The 19,747-nt window shown below is 44.9% G+C and overlaps 1 protein-coding gene across 13 annotated transcripts in view, besides 1 other annotated feature; it reads right to left on the minus strand.

Moving 5' to 3' along the window:
- XPNPEP1 (X-prolyl aminopeptidase 1) overlaps positions 1–19,747 on the minus strand; it is a 58,746-nt gene that overhangs the window by 21,163 nt on the left and 17,836 nt on the right. For 8 of the 13 annotated variants that reach the window (NM_001324132.2, NM_001324135.2, XM_047425713.1 and 5 more), the window contains 5 exons: positions 7,084–7,147; positions 5,794–5,898; positions 2,575–2,667; positions 2,121–2,264; positions 318–413 (listed from right to left, as the gene is read on the minus strand). In NM_001324132.2, coding sequence (NP_001311061.1) covers positions 318–413; positions 2,121–2,264; positions 2,575–2,667; positions 5,794–5,898; positions 7,084–7,147 — 502 coding nt within the window. Of the gene's footprint in view, positions 1–317; positions 414–2,120; positions 2,265–2,574; positions 2,668–5,793; positions 5,899–7,083; positions 7,148–8,087; positions 8,183–19,747 lie in introns of all 13 variants that reach the window. The other 5 variants (NM_001324131.2, XM_047425714.1, NM_001324128.2 and 2 more) reach the window with 4 other exon arrangements.
- Positions 6,201–6,260: an enhancer, noted in NCBI's record as "active region_3996". NCBI's record gives its function as "activates an Ori minimal core promoter by ATAC-STARR-seq in GM12878 lymphoblastoid cells {active_cell/tissue: GM12878}" and the evidence as "EXISTENCE:reporter gene assay evidence [ECO:0000049][PMID:35858748]".

The raw sequence follows: 19,747 nt of genomic DNA on the forward strand, positions 1-19,747 counted from the left end.
ACACCTACAGAGGCTGACAGACATAAAATATTTGTAGGAAATGCCCTTCCTCAGAGGTGCCATGGTCCTGAGGGACTGGCCAGAGGTGGGCATCACCCAGCTGTAATACTGCTCTGGACAAGCCTCACTCCCCTCCCCAGCTCCCTGTAATTCTTTCTCCTTCATCCTAGTTGGCATCTCCTATACCCATTTGGTGACGTAGTCTTCTTCTTATTCCCTGGCCACTCAGAAAGTTGAATGGCATGAACACACAGATACCCAGAGACCCAAAGGAGAGATCGGGTAACATGCCCAAACAGCGAAACCAGAGCACTCACACGCAATCTCATCCAAGGCAGTGACCACAAACCACATGACGTTCCTCTCAGCCATTTTCAACCGAAGGTCTGCAACCTTGTCCTTCCAGGAGATGCCTGCAAGAAACAAATGTGCTTTAACTCCAGCCCTGGTCCCAGAAAGCAGTAGGAACCCAGTGAAAGAACCTACCCTAAACATCTTTAATCAGCACCATTTCTTACAGGAGCACGCTACTTAAACAGGCAGGAGGCCTGGATTCAAGCCCTATACAAGAAGTGTCCAAGCCACTTGACTGTCGTGAGCCTTGATTGCCTCACCAGTAAAATTCATTCATTTACGCATCCCACAAATGCCTGTGTAACATCTAGATCTGCCAGGCATAGATACGTGCCAGGCACTCTGCTGGTCACTGTGGTTACAGATCTGAGCCAGACCCAGTCCCTGTCTTCATGGGGCTTACAATATAGAAGGGAAGACAGATAATTAAACCAGCAATTAACACACTACTGTAAATACTGATGCAACAGGGGACACACAGGGACCTATATCAACACACTACCCAGCAAAGGGAACTCACCCAGTCTCAGGGGTCAGGGGAACAGCACCCACCACTTGATGTTCCTGGGGGCTGCAAGACTTGCCTTTCAGTGCTAAGACCTAGGAATTCCCTGTAGTCTGACTCACTGTGATTACCACTTCCAAATCACACTTGCCCTTTCAGACACTGCCAAGGCCTCTCTGTTGCTCTGCAAGATGAAATCGTGGTGCTAGAGGAGCTCACCCCATTGCCACCACAACCACCCTACCAGGGCAGCATTCATAACTCAGGGAACAGCCACCTGTGAGCAGGGTGGGCATCTGTCTTATTCACTCAGCACCTCGCACAGCATCCTGCAGATAGTAGGCACCCAAATGTGTACTGAACAGCAACATTTGCTCTCCCCTCTCCTATAAGCAACAAGTCAGAGCTTCTGCTCTAGTGAAAAAAACTTCAAACCACGCTGATGGAAAATATTTAGCTGACCCTGGGCCACTCACTGGACCCATCCTCCCCATTCCGCAATACCCCTCTGGTGAGGATGTCACACAAGAAAGCAGGCTGGGGCTGCCCCCACACCCAGGGCTGCACTGAAGATCAGTTCGGGAATGCTGTTTAAAACTTGGCCCAGAATCTAGGCTGTCACGCTTTCTTCCCAGGACCCCTCTGGGCAATCTGCCTACATTCCACAGCCATCCCCCATCTACCTCTGTTTCTACAGCAAGACGCCCTCCCCTGCAGCCCCACCTCCAGGCCTCTCTCTCTGCCCCCTCACTGCTTCATAAATCCACACAATGGTTCAGAGAACATGCTGCTTACCCATCACTATCGCACAGGCCAAGGAAACACACCCACACCCCAAAGCCTCTAAAGCAGAAGGTACAAGATGGAGGACAAAGGCCTAGGAAGGTAAATCTACAAATGCTGACATAAGAAGGGAAATGGAACCTAGAAACCTCTATGCTCTATTTCCAATATCAAATACGTTCGAGTGGCAGTTAGCAGCTGAGTGGATAAAAAAAACTCAGTCTTTTCAGCAGCACCCAAAAAGCCACCCAAACGAGCTTTGCGAAAATAACCAAAGCCAAACTAAGTGGCAAGTAGGTGGCAACAGTGGAAACAAACAAAGCTCCTGCTTCTTCAAATATCCCACTGGGGCAGAGTAGGGCAAAATCCTCCTGTCAGCTCCAACTCGACTTGGATTCGGAGGACGAGGCTGGAGACAATAGCAAGAGGTGGGGGGACAATGGCAGGGGCCCTGCTGGGCAGAACCATTGATTCTGACCTGTGTAATCCAGGCCCAGTGTGAGGAGAGGCTTGCAAGGGCGCTCAGGACGGTCTGTCCAGATTTTGTCAACGAGGTTCTCCTTGACAGGAATGAGGTGATGGCCGGCACTTCTCAGAACTTTGGCCATTTTCTTCCAATAATCTGAGGAGACACATTGTGGCCCAGCCATGAGCCGAACGCCCATTGCAGCAGGGCAGGGAGCAGGGCCTTGAAAGTCCAGAACCTTCAGAAAGGTGGTCCTGCCATGGCCCAGAGCTGGGTGTGCAGGATGAGGAACTGTAAAAGCACATCTTCACCACCAGTGGAACTCTTCTCTTCACCCTGACCTCTACTATAAAATCAGTCATGCTGAGCCCCCCAGTGCTCCACACCCCACAAGCAAATGAGGAGAATGGAGGGGAATCTAGAAGCCACTTCCTTACCCAAGCAGAAAGGGACCAAGCTCACTTACCTGTAGGAATGATCAAGGGGTCCACACCAACCCTGGATCCTTCAGGAAGCACACTCACCAGCCAGTCTTCCTGAGTTGGTGTGTCCTTCAGACCTACAGGGGGAAGAAATGATAAGAAACAATTCCCAGTGGGCCCACGCTCATTATCCCACCAGAAAGATACAATTCTCTAACATCATGATAGCAGGGTCTTTATTAAGCAGCTTCTTTAAAGTGGATTGACAGGACTTAGAAAATCTGAACCTCCCTTAATCCTGGAAGGCTACAGAGAGGGAGAAGTGTAAGTTTTTGTGTATGAAAAACATAAGACAAGGGTGAGACAGAAGGGAAAAAAGTATGATTTTTCACTTGACCCCTTGTAAAAATATCTTGGGGATCACTGCCACGTACACACATGGCGTCACCACAAAGATTGTCTCCTCAGCGTTCAGTCACTTCCCCACTACTGGTCACTTGATGAGAATTTGGGCAGTGATTTGGTGAAGTCTGGGAACTGGGAGACTCCCACATATCACATACCAGGTAAGGTGATAACATGCTCCCAGTGCCCGCCCCTCATCTGCAAGGGCAGGGTGGCCAAGAGAAGGCCGCTGCCCCATAACCAGCCTCTGAATAGAGGGCTAAGCACAAGTCTTGGCAGCAAAGAGATCTTTCCGAAGATTTTAAGAGAGGCACACAGGCACCTGTCCGGTTGTCTTTATTTATTTATTTACTTCTGAAGACAGAGTCTCACTCTGTTATGCAGGCTAGAGTGCGGTGGCACCATCTCAGCTCACTGCAACCTCCACCACCTGGATTCAAGCAATTCTCCTGCCTCAGCCTCCCAAGTAGCTGGGATTACAGGCTCAAAATTACCATGCCCAGTTAATTCTGTATTTTTAGTAAAGACGGGGTTTCACCATGTTAGCCAGGTTGGTCTTGAACTCCTGGCCTCAAGTGATCCTCCCACCTCAGCCTCCCAAAGTGCTGGCCATCCTGTTGCCTTTAACATGAGCCTCTGGGTTCCCCAACTCCCAGGATGAGACAGCCCTTTCTGTTTCTAAGACGCTAGTCATAGGACACTATATCAGCCTCCAGAATAGAACTAAAATTACTTCTATAGTCCAGTTTTCCTTTAATCTAAGCCAACACCTTCCATATCTAGCCAGTTATCTTTGAAATGTATACTTTTTTTAACCAATGAGGTTTTGGCCAAACAATTAACATCTTGATAAAATATACATATATTTAGAGTAAAAGTTCACATATTCTAAAACAGTAGAAACTTATCTTTACTATTTTCTCTACTGACTACTGATACAACCACATAACCATAGAAGGGAAGTGCAAAGGTTTATAAAGAAAGAAGCTCATGAATTCCAATTCTAAAAAACTGCCTAGAAGCTGACATTGAGTTTCATTCTGCTATTTGATTCTTTCCTATTTTTTTTCAAACCACTAAACAAGCCACTTATTAATACAGTTTCTCCTAATGCCCTAGTACACTACATAATATAACTTTCACAGGATGAAGTCATGTCATTTCCTAGCAGACAGATCTTCGGCAAAACCCCAGGGATGAATCACTCACTGGCCAACCAAACCCACCAGAATCTCCCTACACAGAAGACTCGACTGAGGAAACTAGGAAGGAGCCTGGAGGAGAGGAGGACTCACTCCCTCTGCCACCCCCTTGCTGCCACATACCTACATTAAGGAACAGGCAGGCAGTGTTTGCGCCTCTGACCCCCAAAATGCTAACAGACTTAAGAGCTGGAATCCGTGGGCCCCAAAGAGAGATGCCTGCTCCCCAGGGGGACACAATGATCTACTGGGTGCAAGAAGAAAGTAACAGAGCTTCTATTTGTATTTATTTTTTATAAAGAAATTACAAAGTTAGTTTTTGATATTTGGAATATAGAGGAACACTAGCACATATAAATAACAAATAAACAAACATACATACATGTTGCGGGTGCTTGACTCCCATTAACAGAAGCACACAAACAAAAAAATTTAAAGGCCACTAGCTTGTCCATTTATAACAGCCAGCTTCAAATGCCTGCCTTTGTGTGTGTGTGTGTGTGTGTGTGTGTGTGTGTGTGTGTGTGTGAGAGAGAGAGAGAGAGAGAGAGAGAGAGAGAAAGGGAAAGAGAAATCAACTGCAGCAACAGGCAACAATCTGTAGCTTTGGTGTTTTTATATTTATGAAATGATTTTTGAGAAATAGAAACTTAATCCAATGCCAAGACAAAAATGTTCCTTGTTCCTCCCTAAGACAAAGAACACATGTGTGTGTATGTGGAGGGTGTGTGGCATACACCTGAGTGCACACACCCCTCAGTCAGCTGGCTGCCTGGATCTCAAGGTCATGGTCTAGTCCTCTGTTTCCTGCTGTGAGTCTGAGGACTATTTTCTTTCCTCATTATTTCCTACAACAAACAAGAAGCATCAGGTATTTTGTTTCATCTTCTCTTTCTCACTTGGCCCTTCCTTATCTTCTGTTCTCCAAGTTCAAAATTCAGGAAGCAAAGACTTTGTACAGTCCCTAAAACCGTGTTTCTAAAGACTATTTTAATGACAGGAAAGTACACACGGCAGAAAATTAAATGAAAACACAGAGTATATACACACATTATTCAATAAACATTGATCTATATGCTTTCCACATAGTAATGCTTTAATTCTCACCACTTTATATGTTACTTACTGTGATTAACCCATTTTACAGATGAGGAAACTAAAGCACTCAAGTGAAGCGACTAGCCCAAGCAAGTTCCAGACCTGTTCGCTTGTCCTGAATGCTGCTCTTCTCCAGAGCTAAGCTTCCAGAAGCAAATCCAAGATCCTCAGAGAGAGCCTCAGGGGAAAGCTTTCTGGCTTCTGTTGCCAATGACTCCTTGCCTTTATCTCACTCTGAATCATGAGGCAGCAAATAGTAGAAGGCCCCCAGTACAGGAGTGAAATGCACAGCAATGTGATCTGCAGCAAATCAACTGTCCTCTCTAGCCCTCAGTTTCCCCTCAGTAAAATAAGTATCCTGAACCAGCGTCCTCCAAAATTGAATGCACATTGGTACGTATGTATAGGCATGCCATTTTTTTTTTTCTCAGTTTTCCTTGGATTCTCAAAAGGGTCCATGACTGCATAAAAGGATTAAGATCCAGGAGTCCTGAGGACCTCTAGGATCCCTGCCCAGATCAGGCCAACTAAGTTTGGGCTAGCCATGCCTGTACCCACCCATCTTCATAAGTGTCCAGTTGCTGTCCATTTGCTTGGCAGCCTGGAGAAAGTAGCGCCCGTCAGTCCACATGGCTGCATGCTCTTCTGTGATGATGGCTGTGCCTGAAGCAGGGGAGAAAAAAAAAAGAAGAAGAAAGGTTTCTAACAACTGCTCAGAAGCTGCACAAAATGACAGTAGACAGGCAAGAGCAGTAAGAGGCATCAGCTCCTAGTGGGGCAGATGGGTCCTTGACTCCAAAGAAACCTCTGGGCAAGAGAAGACCACACTACTGAAAACAAGCTGTGTGTCAAGCTCTGAAAGAACAGTCCTGAGACCCAAGCTACCTGGCACTGGTCCCTGCACAAAAAGGACTCCACTTGCACAGTATGAGTCAAGAACAGAGAATGGAGAACTGTAGACCTATGGCCAAAGTGGTCTCGTATAATCAACAAGACACAGGGAGGGATGGTTCCTGCTCAGCAATTACAGCCACTCCTCTGCTCCACCAGACACCCCAGGGGAGCTGTTTCACCTTTCCTGGAGAAAGACCAAGTGGGCCCTATGAGTGTTCCTGCTGTGGTCACTAGCAGGAAGCTTATGCCTCCTACCTTTATCTGCCCTCCGTTCCCACAGGCCTGGCAGAACTTGGGGTTTTGGCAGAGGTGTCAGCCAAAGCCAATCCTAATGCGCCAACCAACACAAGCACTTACGCCAAAGGAAGCAGCATGCTAACCATGAGGGGAGGGGAGCTCCCACCTTGTCCAGCTTGCTTTAGAGAACAAACCTGAAGTGGGGAGTCCACCCTAAAACTCAAAGGCATAATGGTTTTGAGGAACACCAATGCAGCTTAGAGTTAACCTTTGTTATTTAAGCCAAGAGTGAAAACAGAAACCAAAAGCCAAGCACTTGGGAGAATTATCTGGGACCAATAAGCTAAGAGAGGAGGTTCTGAAACTATATTAAAGTCTCATTTCTTATTTGGGGTGCTAGTAACACAGGTATATTCAGTTTAATTGATAGAACTTTTATATGTATGTTATATTCAATAAAAAGTTCAAAAACTTTTTAAAAATAAAAATTGTTAAAACTTTGAAGCAAAGATACAGAGAGGAATAAAAAGGGTTACTGAAAGGTGACCTTGGGGAGCAGGGAAAGACTGGGAACCCACACCTTTCTGCAGAGAGTCAATGTGGAGCATCTGGTTTGCATTTTCTTTTTGCTTCTATATCACAGGCTGAAACTCGGTTCAGTTATTTTTAGGAGGCGAACAAAGGTGCAGCAAGAACAGAGAAAAAGTAGTGACTCACCCGCAGAGCCATCGAATCCAGAGACAAAAGCCCGCCGACAGTCACATGGAGCAATATACTCACTCTGGAAAACAAAGATGACAACAAAGTGGGCCTCGATCAGTCATGAGCAGACTGTTCTGCCTGCTTAGCCTTGTGCTAGGCTCAGCGGGGACTATGAAGACTGGGGAATCCTTGGCCCCCGCCCTCAAGAAGCCAACAGTCTAGCTGAAAACAACAGATTAGCACACACTGCAGAAGATTGAATTAATTAAGGGCAGAGAGAGCTGTTCCCTTTAGCCTCTATTTCCTCATTAGGAGAACCAAAGCACATCAGGAGAAACAGATAAAAACTGCTCTTTCTTCACTGAGATCTTACTCAAAAATCAAACCAATAATAGCCTTCTCCCCTCCTTGCCACTGACATTTAGGCATCTGTTATTTTTCTGAAAAGTAAGGCTGAATTTCTGTGTTAAGCACCAACAATTCCCTAACTTAAGTTTCTGTAGATACTGACTTGTTTCCAAACTTCCTGTTTGGGTCCTCCTCTGAGGTAGCATCACCAATCTCTCCCATGCAGACCCTGTCCCTTCCTGCTACAGAGTGAGCGGAAACGCTTCATCCAATCCAGGAGGCTTCAGCAAAATAAAATGTCATGTCCAAAACCAAGGTCTTCTCAGCTGATAATCCCCTTGCCTCTGTATGGAAGGGGTTAGGGAGTGAAGAAAGTAAGAAATTCTTACGCGTGGGCAAAGGGTACAAGTCAAAGTGTGCAACTTCTGGTAATAGCCAGTGAGGCACAGAGAGTTTAAGTAACTTGCCCCAAATCACACAGCTAATTAAGTAGCAGAGGCAGGATTTGAACCTAAGCAGTCAACTCCAGAGTCTGGACTCTGAAGCCCTATGCCAGGCTGCCAATGCATGACACTTTATCTCTCGCCCTCATCACTCTCTAGGATAAGACCAATAGCAAATGAGAAAACTGAGGTTCAAAGAGAGAATCTTTAAGTAAGCTGCCCACTTACAAGTTAATAGTAGGTCAGGATCCAAAGCCAGGCCTGCCTGAGTACAGAGCTGCTGCTCCTTCTGCAGTTACCAGGATTCTCCCAAGCCAAAGGACCTGGCAAGGTTAAGAAAGTTTAGGGTGGGGAATGGGGCTGCTGGCCAGACCCAAGGCATTTTTAGGACAGTCAACATGATGTAGGGGGAAAAGGCCCTCATGTTCCTTTCCTGCTATATGGTTAAGAACTACCCCTTTCAGCCAGGCACAGTGGCTCATGCCTGTAATCCTAGCACTTTGGGCGGCTGAGGTGGGAGGACTGCTTGAGCCCAGGAACTCGAGACCAGCCTGGGAGCATGGTGAAACCTCATGTCTACAAAAAATACAATAATTAGCCAGGCATGGTGGCACGTGCCTGTAGTCCCAGCTATTTAGGAGGCTGAGGTGGGAGGATAATCTGAGCCCGGGAGGTTGAGGCTGCACAGTGAGGCATGATTGTGCCACTGTATTCCAGCCTAGGCAACAGAGTGAGACCTTGTCTCAAAAAATTAAAACAAAAATTAAAAAAAAAAAAAAAAAGGACTGCCTCTTTCACCAAGGCACCGGCAATCACAGCCTCAAACCAGCCTCCAGGGAGATACTAGAAGGGCCAGCATAGAGAACCACAATGGCAGGATAAAGCAGCTCTGGGCCACCTGCCCACTAGCCCAGGCCCAGCTGCATAGTCTGCAACAAGTCCTGGCAGCTCTCTCAGCCTCATTTCCTCATCTCTAAGACAGGTCATTTCAGATTGCTAAATGCAACAGCAAGCACGTTTTATTCCTAAAGCATAAAGAACATTCGGTCAACAGCACTAAGGAAATAGAAAGAAATGGCCACCAGCATCGTTTAGGAACTGCAGAATCCTCACTTGTTTATTAACCGAGTAATTACTGTGTGCAAGACTTTTTATTAAAAAGTAACAACGGGGGGAAGGGTGGCCCACACATCTCCTAGGACTCTTGTGAGAAACAGTAAGTTAATGTCTTTCAAAACTCACCAGAAACTTGAAAGTGCTGCACATATGCAATGGAAGAGATATTATTAATCTCTTCTTCCTAAACAGTGAGAAGACATCTAAGGGGCTGGGAAAACTAAGTTAAAAATAACTCTTGTGCTAAAAATCACTGCGCACAATGGGGAATACACAGTGAGGGCACTCTCCACCAACATGACGCCACAGGCTTGGGGCTCTTCCACCCGTGACACAGGGTGAAGATACTGGCAAAGACTGGCAGAGAATGCAGTGCAGGTCTGAGCCCGGCTGGACTCTTCCATTCAGGGACATAGTACTCTAGGGATGCCCCACCCCTTTCTGGGCAAGCTTGGGAGAGATGGAAGATCCGCAGGGTTTACCTAGACTTCTCCATCAGCAAAGGCAAGGAAAGAGTTCCTCCAAAGGGAGGTGGAATTAACAGCAAATGGACATGTTTAGTTTGGGATGGAGACAAGGTCTGGGGTAAGAATGTCCAGACATGACCTAAGTGGTCAACATTCCAGAAAGACATTGCTAAGCAAGGCTGGCCACAGCCTCACCTCCACACTGACAGGCTATGCAGAAGCCAGACAAGCACTGGGCCCAGGGCTGTCACTCTCCTTCTCCCAGGCATGAAGCTGGCAACGCCCAGGGGCGGTCTCCTTAGAACACAGCATAGGGCCTAAAATAAACCAAAGCTGTAGCATGCTAGGAAAAAGGCACAAAGAAGCACAGCTGCTGGCTTTTTCTCAAAACCACCCACTTCTCTCCATTTCTAATAGCAGCACTCAGTCCAAGCCTCCATCATCTCTACCTGGACTACCGCCCCTACAATCCACTCTGCACATACACTCAGAGTGAGCTTTTCCAAATATCTAAGATCATGTTAGCAACCTCCTTAAAACCCTCCAATGGCTTCCTATTATATTTAAGATAAAATCCAAACTCTGGCCCAGTCAAGGTACCAGCTGATCTGACTTTGCCAGTCCTCTTGCAGCTCTGCTCCCATTCACCATGCTCCAGACACACCCACCTCCTTTCTGCTCTTTGCATATCCTGAGCTCATTCCTGCCTCAAGGCCTTGGCACATGTGCTTCCTTGTGCCTATAAAAGTATTTCTGATCATGGTATGGCTAGGTCCTTCTCATCATTACATTTGAGATCAAATATCACCTCTACAGAGAGGCCTACCTGTACTACCCAGCTATAATAGCCACCTGGCCACTTTTAAGTCTCTGTATAGCACACACATACTCTAGATATTTGTCTTTTTTTTTTTTTTTTTCTTTTGGAGACAGGATCGCCTTCTGTTACCCTAGCTAGAGTGTGGTGACACAATTATGGCTCATTGTATCCTTGACCTGTCAGGTTCAAGCAATCCTCCCACCTCAATCTTCTCAATAGCTGGGACTACAGCAGGCACACACCTTTTTTTTTTTTTTTTTTGTAGAAACGGGGTTTTACCACGTTGCCAGGCTGGCCTTGAACTTCTGGGCTCAAGTGATCAGCCTGCCTCAGCCTCCCAAAGTGCTAGGATTACAGGCAAGAGCCACCATGCTGGGCAATGTTTCTCTTCTTAATGAACTTTTTATATGTTTATTGTCTTGTTCCTCAACCCCCATCTTAACCCCAAGCATATAAGTTCCATGAGATCAGGGTATCTGTCCTGTCCCTGCACTCAGCACAGGTGACTAGATCCTCAACCCACATTTGTATTATAAATGAACAAGCAGAAAGAGACATGAAGCTTTTCCCTACATCCAGTTAAAACCTCAACCATATCTACGAAGATGGACGAAGGGACCATGAGCCAAGGAATGCAGGTGGCCTCCAGAAACTGGAAAAGGCAAGGAAATGGACTCTCCCTGGAGCCTGCAGAAGTAACATAGCCCTGCTGACCCATTTTAGACTTCAGACTTCCAGAACCATAAGAGAATAAATTTGTTTTAAGTCACTGTGGTAATTTGTTATAGCAGTGATAGGAAACTAATACATTATCTAATGGGGAAAAGATCGTAAGGGATTATAAATGGGGTTTCAAATTCAAATACCTCAGGGTACAGGACAAAGGATATCTTTTCTAAAGACAGCAGCTCCTACTCAGCTCTGATTTCTGAAATGCAGGCCACATGTTGCTAACCTTCAATATTTCAGAAGAAGCCAGAAATATGGGTTCATGAGAAATTACCCAATTTTTAAATGTTGGCATCTAATTCCAACAATATAAACAATACATAGCCAAATAAAGCATCTGTAAACTACAAAAAAAAAAAAAGCTAGTCATCTCTCAAAAATCTGGTTCAAGTGCTCCCTTTTCCATGAAGCTTCCTGACCCACTTCAGCTTTCAGAGGCTCCCACATTTCTGAATTTTACAGGACCATCCATGTTGGCACTTATCCATACCCTACCTTGGATAATGCTGACAAATAATGTTAGCTAAGATTATTTAGTCTGTATTGTTTATTATTGTCTCAACACCTACTAGTCAATAACTGTATTCATTTCCTCTCATTCTAATCCTCACAGCAGCCCTGGAAGGTATCATCCCTCGCTAATCTACAGATGAAAAAAATGAAGCTTAGAGAAATAACTAACTTCCCCAAGGTAACACCACAGTAAATGGCAGAACCAAGATCTGAACTCAGGTCTGACTTTTTTTTTTTTTAAGATGGGGTCTTGCTTTGTCGCCTGGGCTGGAGTGCAGTGGCGCAATCTAGGCTCACTACAACCTCCACCTCCCAGGTTCACGCGATTCTCATGCCTCAGTCTCCCAAGTAGCTGGGATTACAGGCGCCCACCACCACACCCAGCTAATTTTGGTATTTTTAGTAGAGACAGGGTTTTGCCATGTTGGTCAGGCTGGTCTCGAACTCCTGACCTCAAGTGATCCGCCTGCCTCGACCTCCCAAAGTGCTGGGATTATGGACATGAGCCACTGCACCCAGCCTCAGGTCTGACTTTCGAAAGCCCATACCCTTGCAAGCTGCCAAGCAACCTCTTCTACTTTTGTACAGAAGTTGTACACATCTAGTCTCACAATTGGATTATAAATTCTGAGGGAACAAGGAATACGAGGTGTATGCTGCACTTACCTCTACTTTCATCAGCCACAGAATAGACATCTCCTACAACCAGCAGTTAGAACTCTGTTCAAGCCTGGTTCCCCACTTACTAGCTGGGTGAACCTGGGGCTCAACTTCCTCATCTGTAAAATGGGGATGAACATAATGCCCACCTTGAAGGGTTGAGGTGTGACATAAAGCAATTAGCGCATGCCGAACATCTGATGAACTGCAGCACTTATTGCTATGAACTGCACCGAGCTTGACTCTATAGCAAACATAAGAAACTATCTTCTCGAAGTGGACAATCGGCAATAGTAGACAGATATTCCATGAAATATTAACACTAATAAACAGCCATATAAACGATGCTGAACATGCAGTGTGGTATTTGCTATAGTTTAAAGGATGCTCAGATGTGCCTTAGATCCATCAGACCAAGCTCAGAGGTTTGACTGGGCCACCAAGGATAGGCGAAGAGAGCAGGAAAACAGTCCAGAGGGAAAGGTGTGACAAGGCCCAGAAGCAAGAGGCAAGAGGCCTGTCATGAGGCGACACCCAATTAGCCTAATGGCAGGGGCAAGAAGTTCAAGGGAGCAGCTGCAGAGATTTCTGTAAAGGCCGTCTGAAGACAAATAGTCAAAGACCTCAAACACCAGACTAAGAGGCTTGAACTTTATCCTGCAAGTTCTAGAGAGACACTAAAAGTTGAAGAGAGGGTGGTGACATGACCAGAGCTGGGTTTTAAGAAGAGGGATCAACATGGCTGGTCACATGCCGATGGAACTTGCCAAGTAAAGCTGACAGCTGACTGCCAAGATAAGCATGACTAAAGTTACTAGAGTCCACATTAGCGTGACATCTTTCCCCTTCCCTGACCCTCTTCTCCCATCAGCCATGAGCTTGGCACTGTGCCTCAAATATACAAGGTTCTCAAGAAAATTGAAACTGAATGAATAAATGGCCATCGGTCCACAGGAAGTACCAAAAGTTAGACTGTGAATGGAGATGTGGACTCCTTGTTTCCAAATATAAGTTATTGGCATTTTTTTCTCTCCTAAATGAAACCAAGTCAGGGTATGTGGGAAAAACTGACAGTTGTCCAAAGATTTGTGCTCCTTCCTTAGTGTAGAAGAGTCACTGGAAAGTAGCTGCCCAGCCAGGCCTTCATTCCCATGCCTCATTACATTGAGGTGAGGTCACATGACTTATTCTTACCAATGAAATGTGGGTGAGAGGTGATACCTGGGTCGGGGCTCTAACAAATGAGTGTGCCCTGTCCATACTCTGTCCCCTTCCACCAGCTAAAATGGTGGTACTATGGGATGGAAGAGCCTAGATCCCTGAATCACTTTCCCTCAAGGTAGAGGGAAGTCCCCCACCAACCAGGAACACCCACTCTATACTGCTACATGAAATAAGAAATAAGGCTTTACAATACCAGGCCACTGAAACTTCGAGATGTGTTACCACAGCTAGCATTATTCTAACACAACAGATAAAATCACTGTGGGATAAAAATCATTAACCCCACCCCAAGAGAAAGCCTGTTTATGAAATACAAAACAAAACAGGAAGCTGACTCCAGGAGAATGGAGTAGGGTCCAAAGAGTTTAGGAAAATCTGAATCATGTCTTCCAGGAGGAGGAACCACAAACAAAGCCAAAAATTCACATTGGCAGAGTCAGTCCCTGACAAAACATCACCCTTTGACTAAGCCAAGCCCAACAACATAATATGGGGTCTACGGATGAGGAGGATGAGGAATCAAGATTTCTAAAAGGCAGTGCTGGCACAGCTCTGACTCCAACCAAGGATTCTCCTGCTTTGAGGCAAGTGGTGCCCACGAATCCCAATATACGACTAGGATGGTACATGAAAGTATCCAGATTACCAGAGAGAACAGACGATTCCTTGCTATAAAAGTCCCCCAGGGCCCAAGCTCATTAATACAACAACCCTAATACCACAACCCTTGCTCTGAGTTTAAAAAGAAGAAACCCTTAGAGTTGCAGAGGACAGAGAGAAGCAGACCACTGCAGTGCCAAGTCCTTGCGTAATTATGCATTTGAGGTACGTTTTCTCTCTTGCAGGGAACAGCGTGTGGGTGTGTATATTTGTGTTTTGGAAAGTACACAAAGGACAGAATTCAAGATTCCCCTTCACTTCTCCAACACCCTCCCCTCCCCAGCCGTAGGAGAAACTCCATCAACCCAGAATCTACCCTGAAATGAAACAATTAGGAACAAGAGCCACAGGGAACAGCAGCCTCTCTATTACTGAGGAGGCTACTATGGCAGGTCACACATGAAGCCAGCCCTTCCTTCTTGTTCTCACAATCACAGCAAGGATCCAGAGTCCCACTTAACAGAGTCGCCCCAACTATGTGGCTCTTCTCCACAGGAACTAAAACAAGGAACCCATTTCCTTCTGTTGATGGCACCACAAACACTCCCAGGCTTCAAACCTTCCCAATCCCCTCTACCACCTGCCTGCAAGGTCCACATTTAATCCAGGTTGTACTACTTCTCCAAATCCTACCCCTCCTCTCCGCTCCTAACCCCAGTACCCAAGTCCAGGCCCTCTTTACCCCAACTCTGAGATCCTGCAAGGCCTAACAGGTTTCTCAATTCCCAGAGTCTCCTTTCTCCAACCCATACTAAACACTGCTCCCTCTGATCATGTCACTCTAAAATCCTGATTCTGGTGGTCAAGGACAACCATGACCAGTCAGGGGTAATTCATGGATGGTCTTAACCAGGCCACTGTTCTCCCTTCTTCAAGCTTATTGTCATGCATGTTCTCCTAATTCCATAGATACCCATGGTATTTCTTACCATTTGATCCAGCCATCCTATTACTGGGTATATACCCAAAGGATTATAAATCATGCTGCTATAAAGACACATGCACACATATGTTTATTGCGGCACTATTCACAATAGCAAAGACTTGGAACCAACCCAAATGTCCATCAGTGATAGACTGGATTCAGAAAATGTGGCACATATACACCATGGAATTCTATGCAGCCATAAAAAAGGATGAGTTTATGTCCTTTGTAGGGACATGGATGAAGCTGGAAACCATCATTCTGAGCAAACTATCGCAAGGACAGAAAACCAAACACCGCATGTTCTCACTCACAGGTGGCAACTGAACAATGGAACATCACACACTGGGGCCTGTCATGGGGTGGGGGGAGGGGGGAGGGATAGCATTAGGAGATATACCTAATGTAAATGATGAGTTAATGGGTGCAGCACACCAACATGGCACATGTATACATATGTTAACAAACCTGCACGTTGTGCTCATGTACCCTAGAACTTAAAGTATAATTTAAAAAAAGATTTCCATGGTATTTCTTGTACTTCTCTCCCTCTTTCCATGCATCCAAATTCTACCTGTTCACGTTCCAATTTAAATCCTACTTTCTCCATGAAGACTTCCCTGATCCTGCCAGCTTAAAATACTCTGTCACCTTTGAATTCAGTTCACACTTTAAGTAAACTTACATTACAGTTGCCACCAGCCACATGTGTCTAAGCACTTGAAATGTGGCTATTGTGACTGAGAAACAGAATACTTAATTTTATTTCACTTTAATAAATTGAAATACAAATTTAAAAACTGATATTCAAGATTCAGTTACTGGAAAACTTCTAAGTATGTTTAGAACAACTTGGGTACGTGAGTCCACCTTTTCAACTGTCAGTCTTATGAAATCTAAACACAGATCAAATATTTCCAATGAAAATTTCACATTCAAATTGCGAAGTTTTGTAAATGTAAAAACTTCCCATATTTGAAACCACAGCATAAAAAGGAATGTAAAGTATCTTCTTAATAATTTTTATAATGATGATGTGCTAAAATAATATTTTGGATATGTTGGATTAATATATTGTTAAAATTAATTTCACTGCTCTTTTACTTTAATGTGTCTATGAGAACATTGAATATTACATGTGTATCTCACAGATTCTACTTAGACAGTGCTAATGAGGTCCTTTCCCATGACATTCACCAGTTTCTTTTTGTGTTCTCATTTATGACTGTGGCTTACCTATTATTTAATCTCTTCAAAGGGAATCTCATTCATCTCCACAACAGTAATAACAACAATAGCGGCAGCTAATATGACGAGACTTTTCAAGTGACATCAAGCATTCAAGCAGCAAGCATTCAAGTGCTTCAAGCATTCACATCTACAGTATGAACCCATTTCATCCTAACAATAGCCCATGCGGTACATACCACACTGTCACAATCTCCTTTTTGCGAATGCAGAAACTGAGACCCAGAAAGTTTAATTGACACTTCAGAATTTCATGTAACTTGCCTGATGTCAAGCAACTAGTAAGTAGCAAATCTGGCATCTGAACCCAGAGAGGCTCTAGAGCTCATACGCTTACCTATATGCTAACTACCTGCCCTCTGCATTTGCCCCAGACCTAGCCCTGAGCAGCAGTCAGAAAACATGCAAACAAACAAAACACAATTTCTCCACGTATGTAAGACAGACAGCTAAGCTACAGCAATAGAAATGACAGTTAAGATTATAAAAGAAAGAGTGGAGAGGGGTGATGAAGATGGAAGGACAGCAAGAGTGCAAAAATGTAAGTCTGTGAAGTCTAAACAGTGACTTCTGCAATAAGAGCAACAGCTAACACCAAGCAAGCTTGATACATTTTGTATTTTCAGGATGTTGCTACAAAACACATCTGTCTCAGATTAGAGCCTCAGTTTCCTCATGGAGGGAAAAGCCATCTAATTCTGATATTGCAGGATCATTAGTAGGAGATAAAGAGCTGAGGGAAAGCCTGGAACATCCCCTGTGGCTTAGATGGCCTCACTGCCACTCCCAGAAGGAATTGCTTCGGGTGTAATAGGCCACACCTACTGTCAAAGATAGAACATTTTTAAGTATCAGTCAGGGTGTCCAAAAATCAGCTTTATGATGACCAAACAAACAAAAAAAGCTGGCAAAGGAACAGCACCCAGGACCAAGAACATCAAGATAAACTTGACTCAGCTATAAGATGTCGGTGTCTCCTACTAGTAAACACACAGATAATATCCTAACTCCAGGCAAAAGAAAACTGAAATTGAAATACAAACACTACAAAGCTTCCAACACACCCTTAACCAGAAACCTTCAACTCTTAATTCAAGTAACATTAGCAGGTCGAATCTTTCTGTACACTGAGGCCTCCCCTGGAGGTAAAGATTCACAAATAGTAGAGCTATTAGGAGTCTTCAGCTGAGGCTCCATGACGACCTGTGAGAACCCTTTCGGAGGAGGGCCCCAATTTCAGACAACTGTGCCAGGGGACTTACAGAACTGCCCAAACCAACTGCTACATAATCATCATGTGCTCCAGTTGCGGGAACCACCATCTGCTCAACACTAACAGGGTGACTGCAATCAAATCAGCCTAGGGCAACTGTCCAATGCTTGAAGGGCAGAAAATTAAAAATGCCACTGGTGAATCCAGCAGAGAATCCAGGTGACATGAAGCCCACATCCAAAGGCTGAGGCCTAGGACTGACAGGAAACAAGGAAGAGCTCATCAGAGGGGCCCAAAGAAAAGAAAAAACAAAATTCCTTGAAGACAAGGCAATGGTCTGCCCTTCTTAAATGGGGGAGTGCCCAGCTCCTCTGCTACCTACGACTCATACCATAACTCAGGCTCAAATCACAGTGGCCAGCCTACTTCCTCACCCAGTCCTTGGTCAAGATGATATTTTGCTTCATATGAAGTTGGTCAATCTTTTTTTTTTTTTTTTTGAGACAGGGTCTTGCTCTGTTGCCTAGGCTGGAGTGCAGTGGCGCAATCTCAGCTCACTGCAACCTCCACCTCCTGGGTTCAAGCGATTCTCCCACCACAGCCTCCCAAGTACTCAGGACTACAGCCATGAGCCACCACGCCCAGCTAATTTTTGTATTTTTTGGCAGAGATGGGGTTTCACATGTTGACCAGCCTGGTTTCGAACTCCTGACCTCAGGTGATCCACCTGCCTCAACCTTCCAAAATGCTCGGATTACAGGCGTGAGCCACCACACCCAGCCTGAAGTTGACCAATCTTATTTGTCTATTCTAATGAACACAAACGAACCTCACCAAGTCTATCCTTACCTTCCCACTGCCTACTAGATCTAACAGTTATGCACCCAGCCTCATGGCTTCCTCACATGCCACCACCCCGATTCCAGCTTGATATTCTACTTTTCCTATATTCTGCCAGGCTGAACAGCCAGTGAGCTGGTGCCTGAATACACCTCTCACTCTGACCTCTCCCTTCATCCACCTCTACATGCAAGACCCATCATCGGATGAAAAGTACTATCACAGAACAACATATAAAGGTATTCCATGAAACACTAGAGTCTCCCACCCCGCCCCTGAAATAACTGGGAAAATTCCATGGACATTTAAGTCTGAAAAATGCTGAATACTTTATCCCCTCCTTAGAGGTACAGAGTGCACATCAGCATATTAAAGGCCCTGAGAAGTCCTGCAGCTATGAAACTCATTGGGGCAAAGGACTTGAATAGACATTTTCTCCAAAGAAAATATACAAATGGGACCAAAAAGCATATGAAAAGATACTCAACATCACTAACCATCAGGTAATGCAAATCAAATCTACAATGAGCCATCACCTCACAACAAAACAAAAAATAGCAAGTGTTGGTGAGGAAGTGGAAGAACTGGAATGCTGTGTACCATTGGTGGGAATGCAAAATAGTACAGGTGCTGCAGAAAACAGTATGGAAGTTCCCCCAAAAATTAAAAATAGAAGGATCATATGATCTGGCAATCTCACTTGTGGGCATATATCCAAAAGAATGGAAAACAGGATCTCAAAAAGATACTTGCAAACCCATGTTCATTGCAACATTACTCACAATAGCCAAGAGGTGGAAAAAACTGAAATGACCATCCACAGATGAACAGGTTAAAAAAAAAAAGTCTCTAAATAAAATGGAATATTATTCAGCCTTATAAAAGAAAGAAATCCTGTCATATGTTACAACATGGATGAACCTTGGACACTATACTAAGTGAAATAAGCCAGTCACAAAAAGACAAATACTGCATGATTCCAATTACATGCGTTATCTAAAGCAGGCAAACTTTTTTTTTTGAGACGGAATCTCGCTCTGTCACCCAGGCTGGAGTACAGTGCTGCAATCTCGGCCGGCTCACTGTAACCTCCGCCTCTCAGGATCAAGCAAATTCTCCTGCTTCAGCCTCCTGAGCAGAGGGATTACAGGCACGTGCTACCAAGCCTGGCTAATTTTTATATTTTTAGTAGAGATGGGGTTTCACCATGTTGGTCAGGCTGGTCTCCAACTCCTGACCTCATGATCCGCCTGCCTCGGCCTCCCAAAGTGCTGGGATTACAGGCGTGAGCCACCGTGACTGGCCCAGCAAAATCTTAGAGAGAGAAAGTAGAATGGTGGTTGCCAGGGATAGGAGGGGAGGAGAGAGACTGGGAGGAGCTGTTTAATGGATATAAAGTTTCAGTTTTGCAAGACGAAAAAGTTCTAGAGATCTGTTGCACAACAATATGTGCATGTAGTTAACACTACAGTA

The sequence above is a fragment of the Homo sapiens genome, chromosome 10 (assembly GCF_000001405.40).
Source record: "Homo sapiens chromosome 10, GRCh38.p14 Primary Assembly".
Taxonomy (NCBI): Eukaryota; Metazoa; Chordata; class Mammalia; order Primates; family Hominidae; genus Homo; species Homo sapiens.